Source organism: Homo sapiens, chromosome 1, assembly GCF_000001405.40.
Source record: "Homo sapiens chromosome 1, GRCh38.p14 Primary Assembly".
Taxonomy (NCBI): Eukaryota; Metazoa; Chordata; class Mammalia; order Primates; family Hominidae; genus Homo; species Homo sapiens.
In genome coordinates this window covers 173,598,172-173,610,804 of record NC_000001.11, presented here as the reverse complement: position 1 = coordinate 173,610,804, position 12,633 = coordinate 173,598,172, and the positions used below count along the sequence as shown (strand labels likewise).

At 39.9% G+C, this 12,633-nt stretch overlaps 2 protein-coding genes across 20 annotated transcripts in view; both read left to right on the top strand.

Moving 5' to 3' along the window:
- Window positions 1–2,469, top strand: part of ANKRD45 (ankyrin repeat domain 45) — a 106,850-nt gene extending 104,381 nt beyond the window's left edge. For all 7 annotated transcript variants that reach the window (NR_158771.1, XM_017001123.2, XM_047419195.1 and 4 more), the window contains one exon: window positions 590–2,469. Coding sequence is in view for 6 of the 7 variants with exons in the window: in XM_017001123.2 (XP_016856612.1) it covers window positions 590–660 (71 nt within the window). In the remaining variant the exon portion in view is untranslated. The remainder of the gene's footprint in view (window positions 1–589) is intronic.
- A 5,263-nt stretch (window positions 2,470–7,732) lies between these two features.
- The window catches only part of SLC9C2 (solute carrier family 9 member C2 (putative)), a 102,613-nt gene continuing 97,712 nt past the window's right edge, over window positions 7,733–12,633 (top strand). For 2 of the 13 annotated variants that reach the window (NM_178527.4, XM_011509426.3), the window contains exons 1-3: window positions 7,733–8,054; window positions 8,950–9,155; window positions 10,588–10,688. In NM_178527.4, the coding sequence (NP_848622.2) occupies window positions 9,029–9,155; window positions 10,588–10,688 (228 nt within the window). In that variant the 5' untranslated portion in view covers window positions 7,733–8,054; window positions 8,950–9,028. The remainder of the gene's footprint in view (window positions 8,055–8,949; window positions 9,156–10,587; window positions 10,689–12,633) is intronic. The other 11 variants (XM_047418169.1, XM_017001073.2, XM_017001072.3 and 8 more) reach the window with 8 other exon arrangements.

The following is a 12,633-nucleotide window of genomic DNA, read 5'->3' as shown; positions in this document are numbered from 1 at the left end:
CAATTTTTTTTTTAGAGACAGGGTCTTGCTATGTTACCCAGGCTGAACTTGAATTCCTGGGTTCAAACAGTCCTCCTGCCTCAGCCTCCTAAGTAGCTGGGACTATTGGATATACGGTTATTCCCACCTCTCCACCAGTACCATTAACCTGGCCCAACAATCCCCCCTCCTTCCCTTCTCACCTGTGAAGATTTGCCTCTCTCCCCCGACCCCCTATATCACATGTTCTCTAAGCACCTTCATATCACAGAATGTTAGATCTTGATGGAACCTCTGAAATGAACCCTGACTTTGCAGTGAAGAAAGTGAAGACAACAGAGGTTTAGCGGTTTATTCAAAGTTACTCTCATCAATGGCAGAACTAGGGACAATAATACTGATTATATGGGAAATGTGACCTCACAGCTTTAAATATAGTGAACAGGAGAGACTATTTGAATGACATACCAACAACACTAGGGTTGAATTAGTAGCTGGTTCAGCCTGGGACAATCTAATTTATTCCATTCTTATTGTCTTAAAAACTGGCTTCATTTTGTTTCATATTGCAAACTAATTAAATGTAATTTTAAAATCTGTTTCCTTTCAGGTCAAGTGAAAAGTGCCAAATCTGTAACAAGCCATGACCAGAAGAGAAGTCAAGATGATACCTCCAACTGAACATACGTTCTGTAAAAGGCCACATTTTCTTTTAGTATCTGAAAGGCAAACCTATTCATGCCATTTGAAATCGAGAAAACAGATGTGGGTTTCTTTAAGTATTTAAGTACAACATTACATCGCCCTTGTTTTGTTTGACCTGTTCAGCATGCTTATGTCCGGACTCTGGCCTCGCCTCTGCTCCTCCAAGCACAGCCCCATGTGAGTTTCACGTGCTCCTTCAGGAAAGCACTTGGGTATAAATCATTCGTGAAGACCATGTGGAGGCTTTAAGAACTACTCAGAGAATCTAATAATTTTCTGTGTAATTGAGGCATTCCATATAAAAGGACATATTTGGCTATTTCCAGAGAAAAAATTTGTTCTCCCTGCCTAAAAAGGAAATCTTATGGAATGACACTTGGAGCAAGGAAATATTAAGACCAGCTTGGATTAGGAGCCTCTGGGTACAACTATCACTTTTTATGTCCAAAATTAAATTTCACCTGTGAGGTGGGGTATACCTCTGAGTAAAACCCCTCTTTATCTTTGACCTCCTTCTATCTGTAAATTAATAAACACAAATCTGTATAGTTTTATACTTAGAAGAGTTCTCCTATTCTGTAAGGCTGGCAATACAGATATTGTAACTGGACTGAAGACCATTTCCCCTCCCATTCTGTTTTATATTTCCTAGGTTTTAAGTACGATAGTTGGTTTCATATTGGTGGTTTGGAAAGCCTTTTTTCTAATTTATTTAATCAGGCGCCTCAACCTTCTCTTACGTTGTGACTTTATGGAAAAGTTTTATAGAAAAGAAGATGGTTTTTAAAAAGCACTTATTGTTCGTTCTTATGGCTTTCTCTTCTTTGTCCTGTTCTGAAAGCTAGTTTTCCCTTATGGGGAGAAGGAAAAGGAATGGGTAATTCAGTAATACTTTGTCAGTTGACATTTATTTAACCATGGTTTTGAGATAACCCTGTTTTAAATGTCTCCCAAAGTTTTTAGTTTTTTATCCTTTTAATGTATGAGCAATTCAGTTTCAATTTTTTAAAGCAAAAGAACACTGCAATAACTTTCAGCCACCTTTTTGGCCGACCCAGTGGGTGTTTATGGAGCAGTACAAAGAAGACCTGTGTTTGCTCCTTTTTTTTTTTTACCCTCCTTCTCCCTTCTCCCTTTTCCCTTCCCTTCCCCTTCTCCTTCCTCTCCCTTCCTCTCCCTTCCCCTCCCTTCCCCTCCCTTCCCCTCCCTTCCTCTCCCTTCCTCTCCCCTCCCCTCCCTTCCTCTCCCCTCCCCTCCCTTCCTCTCCCCTCCCCTCCCCCTCCTCTTCTCTCTCCTCCTCCTCTTCCCTCTCCAACTCCTTCTTCTTCCTCTCTTATCTCTCTCTCTCTCTCCACCCCCGCAACCTTCTTGACAGGGTCTGCCTCTCCTGCCCAGGCTGGAATGCAGTGGAGTTATCATGATCATAGCTCACTGTAACCTGTAACTCCTGCACTCAAGTGATCCTCCCACCATGCTTGGGTAATTGAAAAAATAAACATTTGCAGGCTGGGTGCTGGCTCACACCTGTAATCCAAGAACTTTGGGAGGCCAAGGCAGGCGGATCACCTGAGGTCAGCGGTTTGAGACAAGCCTGGCCAACATGGTGAAACCCTGTCTCTACTAAAAATACAAAAATTTAGCTGTATGTGGTGGCACGTGCCTGTAATCCCAGTGACTTGGGAGGCTGAGGCAGGAGAATCACCTGAGCCCGGGAGGTGGAGGTTGCAGTGAGCCGAGATCGCACCACTGCATTCCAGCCTGGGTGACAGAGTGAGACTCCATCTCAAAAAATAATAATAAAAACAAATAAAAATTTGCAGAGATAGAGTCTTGCTACGTTTCCCAGGCTGGTCTTTGAGTTCCTGGCCTCTAGCATTCCTCCTGACTTGGCCTCCCAAAGTCCTGGGATTACAGCTGTGAACCACTATGCCTAGCCCATTTTCTTAATACAGTATATTGTGCGAAGACCGGTGTCCTTAAGGACTGCAATAATTTAGGAAAAGTCCAGGTGCCATTTTTGTCCTTTCTACTCTAACGCTACATTTTCTGAGCTTGGATTTTGAATACAACATTATTTTCCAGGAGTGTGTTCCAGATTAGGGAGGGATTCCTGGATTCTTACTTCAAAGATTTCTAAATTAGACCAAGGCATTTCTGGAGACCCCTTAGTATAAAATAAACCTATTTTCCCTCTTTATTAATCTTTCAATCCTTATCCTCAAACTTTTTATAGCTTTTGATATATTTGCTGATGCTATTTTTAAACTCCTTGTGTTGGTACTTTTATGTCAATTATGATTCCTCTACTCTCTTAAAACTGCTTTTCTAACTCCTTCACCAGTTCCTCTTCTTCCTCTTGCCCCCAGTTGTGAGAATTTCTCAAAATTCAATCCTAACCTTTGGTAAAGCAATCTGTAATTCTCTATTCCATGACCTTCCCTGTCACCAGTATTATGAAGAATGAGTCTTTCCCTCTTTAGGGCACCCATAGTGCTAATAGCCTCATACTGTATTCTACTTAATTGTTCACAGGTTTGTCCTTCTGTGTGAATTGTAAGCTTTTTGAGGGTAGGGATTTTGTTTTGTTCTTTTTTTATACCTAAAAAGTCCATAAAACAGTAAGTTAGTAAATAACTGAATGAATTATCTTTTAGTAATACCTTATACATAGAACTCATTACCTCTTCATTAATTTATAGAGCTTGTGCACCTTTATAAAAATGACTCCCAACACTTATCTCCATATCTTGCCCCATTTTAACTCCTACTCCTCTAGCAGATAAGCCACACATACATCCAACATCTCTACGCCTAATTTCTCCTCTGACCTTCTATTTTCTAAGCCTTCACATTGAATGTCATTTTACTTTCTGGCATGTGAACCAAGTGATTACAACAGATTCCTGGATCTCATGTCAAAGATTCCTTTGATGTGAGAATCTGAACATTTATTTATATCTATAGATTTACAATTTTAGTCCATTTTGAGAGTTATAGTATCTCTTGTTACATATTGTTACATTGAATTATAGATCTATTCATAGGCAACTTTAAATGCCCGTAGGCTTTGAGTTTGAGCTGTTACATAGGTAGCTGCATGGCTTTTTCTGAACATCCACAAAGTAATTACTATTCAAAGTGCATACTAATAAATCAATGAAGCCTCCACATTATTTGGGAAGTAGTCAATCAAAGGCTAAATTCAATGTTATGATAACTTTTAGGCAGTAGTTCTTTAGACTTCTGTATTTAATTGAACAGAAAAAATGTAAAAAAAGGGGAGGAGATTGATAGGACATCATTAATAAAACAACTACTATCTACTATCACTATCATTTAACAAAAGACATTTTAACACCAGAAAAGGGAAGAGATCTCAGTGTAGGGCTCTACCCTTTAAGTTAAATAAATTAAGTTTTATTATAGACCTTTATGTTGTATTTATTTTTCTTATTTTGTCATATATGATGGAACTTTTGTCATGAATCAGAACTGGCCTGTGGTCCAGCCTTTGAGAACTACTGCTCTGGACTAAGTAGATTGCTATTTAGATTAACATGATGCCCCCAGATTGTAAAGGACTGACACTTGCCCCCATGTTCAATCTAATATGTGGTAGATTGTATTTTCCAGGATGGCCACATCTCCCTTCCCACATGCTCTTCTTACAATATGGTCATGACATTCCTCACGTAGAGAGATGTGTCTCTGTTCTTTCCTCTTGAATCTGGGCAGGCTCGTCACTACAGTGGAAGTGATTCCATGTGATTTCTGAGGCTAGATCATAAAAGGTGATGAGGCCTCTGCCTAACTAGGGGAAATGCTTTCTCTTGAGATGCTCACTCTTGACCAGCCTATAGAGAGATCCACAGGGAGGAACTGAGGCCCCAGCCCACAGCCTTGGTTGAGCTCCAGCCTGCAGTCATCCCCAACTTGCCAGCCATATGAGTGGGCCATCTTAGAAGCAGATCCTCCAGTCAAGCCAGCCCAGCTGATGCTGTGTGGAGTGGAGACAAGCCTTCTGTGCTGAGCCATGCAAAAAATTGCAGATTTGTGAACGAAATAAATGATTGTTATTGTTTTAAGCTACTCAGTTATGTATTTGTTACTTAACAATATATAATTCACAAATTGTATAACTTGGAAGTGAGAAATTGACATAACAAAACCTAAAATACATGGCATTGTCTTTGGGACTAGATGGTAGAGGACAGAAAGGCCTGGAGGAGGGTGTGGGTGAAAGCTACAGGCTTTCAAGTACAATATTAGCAGAAGCGCTAGGGCCTTCTAGGAGGCTATTGGTGAGTTTATAGTAAAGAGAGGAAGATGTTATTGGAAGCTGGAGAAACCCTTGTTAGGAGTTGGTGGGTAAGTTTGGCCACATTTTGTCTAAGGAATGAATTCGATGACCCTGCTAAGGATATTTCCAGACTGAGTATGGCTTCTACTAAATGAGAGGAGAGAGAGAAACTGAGAAGGAGCATTTCAGCTTTCAAATAAATTTTAGGATTTAGAAGATATGAAAAGAGCCAGTGCTCACTGGCTTTGAAAATAAAATTGCTTTTCAATCCTATCCTTTCTAGATGGCAAAAAGTTCTCCACCTAAGGAATGGTTTCTGGGAAAAAGATAAAATCCATGGTGGAATTATAAAGTCATTTGTTAAGAATTCAGAAATATCTAAGGTGGTGCCTCATAGAACCTTTCAGACTTTAGGTGGGCTTTCTCCATGCAGCTGGGAAGGTGGCCTCCAGCTGCTCTGAGGGGTCTTCATCACAACTAAACCTAAGTGGAGAGAGAACAGCTGTCTCCCAATAATGGAATATACCAACCTAGGGAGCCATCTAATTGGTGTTGTCTGAGTCCATGCCCACTCCTGAACCAATTATAATGTTAGGAGGATGGGAAACTGACTAACCCCCCTGTGTTTTGTGTCTATCTCAATTAAATAGTATTGTCTCTTTTCAGAAGATGGAGTTGGGAGAAAACACTGGGCAGCCTCTCAGCGCTCAACTCCCCAAACTGACCAGAATCTCCTTCAGCTGGATTTATAAAAAATGGTGAAATATAACTTTATTATTGCTTTTTTTTAAAAAAAAAGCTCCATGGGAAAGGATAAAAAATTTGATCACCTCTATATTTTAGTTATTGCTTTCTTTAGCTTTCAGAACTATGTGTAAGCTAACTGACTTTATGGATTTTCTCCAACTTTTCCTGAAGTATGAGGATTTTTCTAAAGGCCATGGGGAATCTGAACTTCGAAACTTAAATTCAACCTACAGGAGTCTTAGCTGCAGGGCTTAGGTGAACCGAGTGAGCCTGAGGGGACAGCAGTAGGATGGGAACTAGGCAGAACCTGGAAGGGCATTACTCAAACTGAGTAGTGCTGAGATCAGTTTGACTAAGGAGAGAGTCAAACTTAATTTTGAGAGGAATCAAGGTGACAGCCAGTATAGATAAGGTGAAGATCCGAACGGGAGGGTAGTGAACTTGGTAATGAGGTGAGTTAAGTAAAGGCAGAAGAGGGAAGAGTAAGGAATGGGTCTCTTAGGAGAGGGCCTGTGAATAAGCCAATTACTTTTTAACATAGTCCTTGGCATTATAGTAGGGATGAGCTCAGTGGCTTAAAAGAACCACATCAGTTTGTACAAAAAAGGAAGTCATAAAGAATATTTTAGGAGCTAGTATGTGGGCACCAATGTTGCTTGTCACAGTCATAGAGCTGTTGATTAGAATTGTGTTTAGTCTGAAGTAGGAATTGAGACTCACTTGCCAGAGGTTTCTTGATACATAGTGAAGGTGTAATCTTACTGCTGTGATGTTCTCCTTGGTGCCCTCAAGAAGATGATGTGCAGCAACCTTGGTGAATGTGGTATAGGAATGAGAGAGTAGAATTTGTCACAAAACAACTCTTCCTTGAAAGTAACCCACCAATTGATGATTATTGTTCATTTGTTTAATATTTATACTGTATTTGTTTTTAGTAATTATATTTGAGGCAAGAAGTATATAAGTTAGGCATCATGGAATTTGGGATGCATTTGTCCTCCCATGAAGAATGGGTAACATTGTTTCTTCAAATTGAGGACTGGAAACCAATGATGGATAGGAGTTAGGAAAATGGGAGTGAGAAACATTGAAAAGGAAGGAGAGGTAGAAAAATAAAATGAAACAGTATGACTGAAAAAGAATTAGAGAGGAGACAAGACTGTGTTGAAGAGGGTTAGGGCTGAGCCAGATGGTGTTGGCATAAGAAATATAGAGTATATATCAAAAATATAGAAGGAGATTCTGTCTACATTAATATCTTTGACTATTTCAGCTATTATGTTGTTTTGGGACAATCAAAGATGGGAGAGACCGAACAGAGTGAGTTCAGGAAAGGTCTTTATTAAAAGGTGATCACCTGGCTCAGTAGGACTAGCGTCCAGGAAAGTCTGAGCCCTGGACAAAGAAAGCAGCCACCTTTTAAGCAGTCAGTGGCCAGGAGCTACGTGATGCAGGAAGCGTACTTACAAGAGCGAGAACAAAGGCAGTTGATCAGTCTTTTACATTTATCTATGCTACGTGTTCCACATCCCTGGGAAACCATGTTTCTGTATTAACCTTGTAACTTTGCAGCTGCGCTAGGGAGGTGAAACAGGAACTCCCTGAGCCTCAAGGAATGTGAAACTAGCAAGTACAGATAAGGCTTGCTGAGCACAGAAGGAAAAACACGCTGTTAGTATTCTTCTCTAACTTAGACTACAGGGGAGCTACACTACACTTAGCTTTTGAAGGGAAAAGTAAAAATTTTTGGTTGTCTTTGATTATACTTGTAAAATTCATGAATTCATTCTACAATGTCAGCAAAAAAAAAAAAAATCAGTTAAAACAGTTGTGGGTACTTACGTAACTTGAGTGTTAAAAAATGAAAGCTTCCCAAGAACTAGATCACTTGGCTTCTTCTGGATTGGGGGTGGGGATAATGTAGGCAGCCAATCAGAACGAAAGCAGGCTGGCAAGAAACCAATGAGAAGTAGGCATGGAAATGGATTTTGGTGTGATATCAGTTGGTAGTACTGTCCCTGGCAAACAGACGCATAACTGTGCATTGTTCTTTGGGATTTTGAGAGCCTTCATCTCAATTTCAACTTTAAAGCAGCTTAATCTTTAAGGAACATATCTCTGATCTGGGTAATTTGTAGAACTTAATTTGAGGGTCATTACATGTGAGGATAGCAGGAGTTGAAGATGCCAAGGACCTGAAGGGCTACTGGAGGGACAGGTGAAGTGATTTGAAGATGTAGCATTTTGAATCTCTTTCTGGCCCATCCTCTGCTTCACACCAGAATCATTGTGACCTGTAGACCTGCAAAACAAAGGACCAAAGGTAAGCCTTAAATATTATTGGAGATACTTGAGGAACCTCTAGGATTTTTAGATTAAGGCTAGCTGCAAGGAAAAATAAAACAGAACAAATCTTTCTCAGGACCACTGCATAGATTTGCACAGGTTACATCCTACACAGAGCACCAGCTGAGGTGAGATACTGGGGCTGAAATCCAGCCTGGTAGTCACATGCCAAGCCATGTGCCTTGTTGACAGGCTTCATTGCTCTGAGGAAGGGGGCCTTTTTCTAATTCACTCAAAGGCATCATATGATCAAACCTTGGTCTTTTCCTTTATTTTCAGGTTATTCACCCTTATCCTCACCCCCAACCTTAACTGGTGTGACTCAACTTTGACTTTGTTTCCCATTTGCCATCTTTTATTGGAAGGGTGCTGAGAGAAGAAAAAGATATATTAGGGCTGGAGTGGTAAAATGGAATTCCAGAATGATTTATACCAACAGAGAAGGGGGAGCATAACATTTATCCATGCTCCTTCCCCCTCAAATAGTTCAGCCCATCAAATATTTTTGGACAGCCTATCTCGTGCCACATGCTATGTGCACAGCCTTAAGGAAAGTTCGGGCCCTGGCCTTTGAGAAACTCACTGTCCAATGGGGAAAGCAAGCACATTACTATATCATTACAATGGTAAGTGCACCTATCAATGCACCCCCTCTCCCATATACATGTAACAGTACAGGGAGTAAACACTAACACTGCTGTTAGTGTTCCTATAAAATGTTCTTGGAGCAAGGGGTAGGACAAGAGGTATTAATGTGTGCCCTGTGACAAGAAGAGACATGTTCAGATCTGAGTGTGGCACAATCTTAGGTAGAAATGGTATGGATGAATTGGATCTTGGTAGGTCTCATGTTCTTTTTGCATGCTATACAGGTTAGCATGCAGAAGTGAAAGTGTCAATAATAACCAAACCACTCCATCAAGTTAGGTCTGGGGAAAAGCAGCAGCAAAAATGAGTTCTTACTTCTGGGCACAAAATGAAAGTAACAGACCTGATTTACTCTGCGGGCAGCCAGCTGACTACCTTGTTGAAGAGAAACATTTCACAACGCTTGTATGCTTCATTGTTGTTTTGGGAGGTAGGTGGTTGTTTTTGAAACTCATCTTTCCTCTGCCCTGTGAACCTTTTGTCAATGCAGAAAGCCATCACAACTACATAACATCAAAAGAAGGGGCCCATTGAAACGATAAGACATGAGTGAATACTGTCAATCTCGCTTCATTTAATTATAAGTAGTGTCTATTCTATATTCCTGTATTCAGTGACATTTGCTGAGCATGGTAGTGTGGTAGACATGTAAGAAGAATAACTTAACTTCAAGAAGCCCTCTCATGGGAGAGATTGGCAAACACATAATTACTATGCAGTGTGTTAAGTATAACTATAAAGTTGTCGTCAAGATTCTCTGCTCACAAGGAGGAGGAAGAGCTGTACACTGCCTGCCTGGCCAGACCTAACCTGACCAAAATATCTGAGATGAGGGGAGGACAATGCGAGCAAACACACAAATAGAGCCCAGGCATACAATTCATGATTTACATAATTGATGTCATTCATTTTGTCCATTTTATTATGGCTTTTGGTGTAATCTCTCTTCAGGGAAGATAAATAACCCACCCCAACCCCAAGAAGGAAATTAGGAAAGGCTTCACAAATAAGGACCTCTTAAACAATGATTAAGAATTCAACAGGTATAGAGAATGATATTCATGCAGATCAAGTAACATATTCAACACACAGATGCTTTAGTCCACAATTCAACACTAGGGATTAGGAAAAAGGAAAAATAGCTGCTTTAAAATCCTTTCTGGAACTAGGAATACTATACAGAAGCAAATATGTATAAACTCCTTCAATTTTACCCATTGTATCAAAGAGTGAAATTGCTTTCTTTGGGAATCTTTAATATACTCACTAATGACCTTGGTCACTTTTGATATCACAAGTTGCTGATGACCATGGACTAGCTCTATATCCTTTATAGAGACAAACGCTCCAGTAGTAAAGAGCATTGCAGAAAGAGTGTAAAAAACATATCTTTATCTGGTCTTACCTGTAAGAAGTACAGATGCTCCTTGACTATCAGGTTGTGTCCTAATAAACCCATCATAAATTTAAAATATTGTAAGTTGAAATGCATTTAATACAACTAACCTACTGAACATCATAACTGAGCCTAGCCTACCTTAAAAGCTTTCATAACACATTTGCCTACAGTCAGGGAAAATCATCTAACACAAAGTCTATTTTATAATAAAGTGTTGACTATCTCATGTAATTTTGTAAATATTGTACTAAACGTGAAAAACAGAATAGTTGTACGAGTACTCAAAGTACAGTTTCTACCAAATGTGTATCACTTTTGCACCATCCCAAAGTTAAGCCACATCATTAAATATTAATTGAATACAGAAGGTCTTGACTTACTTTGGGATGGTGCAAAAGTGATACACATTTGGTAGAAACTGTACTTCGAGTACTCATGCAACTATTCTGTTTTTCACATTTAGGGCTTTTGAAGATGTGTTTAAAGAATTGTGAAGTCATTGTTTTGACGATTCTTTCTCTATCAGGATTCGTGATAGGACACATGGCCTACAATTCTGTTGAGGTACTGTATGTACAATAAATTAGAGAATAAAGGAAAAAATGCCAAAAATAAAGTCCACTCCCATCTCATCCCTGAATGCATGGAATGTTTTTTCTTATGGGAACAGCTACTCAAAAAATTTTATCTGGTATTAAAAAATTTGGAAAATAACCACACAGTAAAGGACACATCAATTAGGGAAACTTCAAAAAAGCAGTAATAAGAGGAAAATGTGGCCAGGTGCGGTGGCTGACGGTTGTTATCCCAGCACTTTGCGAGGCTGAGGTGGGTGGATCACTTGAGGCCAGGAGTTTGAGACCAGCCTGGCCAACATGGCAAAATCCCATCTCTACTAAAAATACAAAAATTAGCTAGGAGGGGTGGCCCATGCCTGTAATCCTAGTGACTTAGGAGGCTGAGGCATGAGAATCTCTTGAACGGAGGAGATGGAGGTTGCAGTGAGCCGACATCACACCGCCACACTCCAGCCTGGGCATCAGAGCAAGACTGTCAAAAAAAAAAGAAGGAAAGAAAGCAAGGAAAGACCATCCTGGCTAACACGGTGAAACTCTTTCTCTACTAAAAAATACAAAAAATTAGCCAGGTGTTGTGGCGGGCGCCTGTAGTCCCAGCTACTCAGGAGGCTGAGGCGGGAGAATGGCGTGAACCCAGGAGACGGAGCTTGCAGTGAGCCGAGATTGCGCCACTGCACTCCGGCCTGGGCGACAGAGCAAGACTCCGTCTCAAAAAAAAAAAAAAAAAAAAAAAAAAAAAATCAAGGAAAATGTGTTTGCGCTCTTGGGTTCATCATCTGCTTCTGGAGCCTTGCTCTGGCTTCCTTCCCCTGCACATACACTGGCTTCCTCCTTGCTGTTGCCTTATAAAAGGCCTGCTTATAGGCTGAGGCAGGAGAATGGCGTGAACCCGGGAAGCGGAGCTTGCAGTGAGCTGAGATCTCGCCACTGCACTCCAGCCTGGGTGACAGAGCGAGACTCCGTCTCAAAAAAAAAAGGGCCTGCTTATAAAAGACCTGCTTATAAAAGGCAGCAGTTGTGTTCATCATGAGGCATGGTCACTGCCAGATTCAATGTAAAACACACTTCATAGCTTCATATAATATATACCATAGATACAAGAAAACATTCATTCATTCATTAACCTAGTATTAACTTCTGATTTCAACTGCATAGCAGTGTGATCAATAACAATTTGCCTCCACTCATTCCTTTATTTTTGAAAAATGGAGATAATGCTTGTACCCATCTAGGATTGTAAACGCTTCTTCCTAATCTTCTGAAATACCATCACTACTACTAGCTGACATCTTTAGAGTGTTTACTAAGTGCCAGGCTCTCTTTTAAGTGCTTTGTATTTATTAATTTATTAGCTTATTAACCCTTGAGTTAATTTATTCACTCTCACAGCAACCCATTGAAAGCAGATACTCTATTTCCATTTTACAGATGAGCAAACTGAGGTATAGGGAGGTGAAGTAATGAAAGTTAAACTATTGATTGGGACAAAATAAACTTTTTAGGAGGGAATATTTATAGCACTTCAATCATTATTGTTGTATTTTCCATTAATCTGTGTACAACCTTCATGATTTATGTCTTATGTATACAATCTACTATTTTCTATGAATTATTTTTCTCTACTGACTCACTTAAAGATTTAAAAATCCTAAGCCAATGTTTGTGAAACAAGTACCTGTTTAAGATTCTTTCCCTCATCTAAAGCAAATTGAAATAAACATCTAACAGTCAAATTAAAAAATACTTACCTGTGAATCACCAAAAATATTTTCTGATATCACCAATAGTAGGGATATCACTTTTGAAAATACTGATTGCACACCACAAGCAGTGTTTGTGTAGCCCAAAACCACTCAATTATCTGGTGAATAGAGGTCTATATAGGTAACCTATCTGGATGGCTAGATCAAGAAATCTACCACAGGACCCTT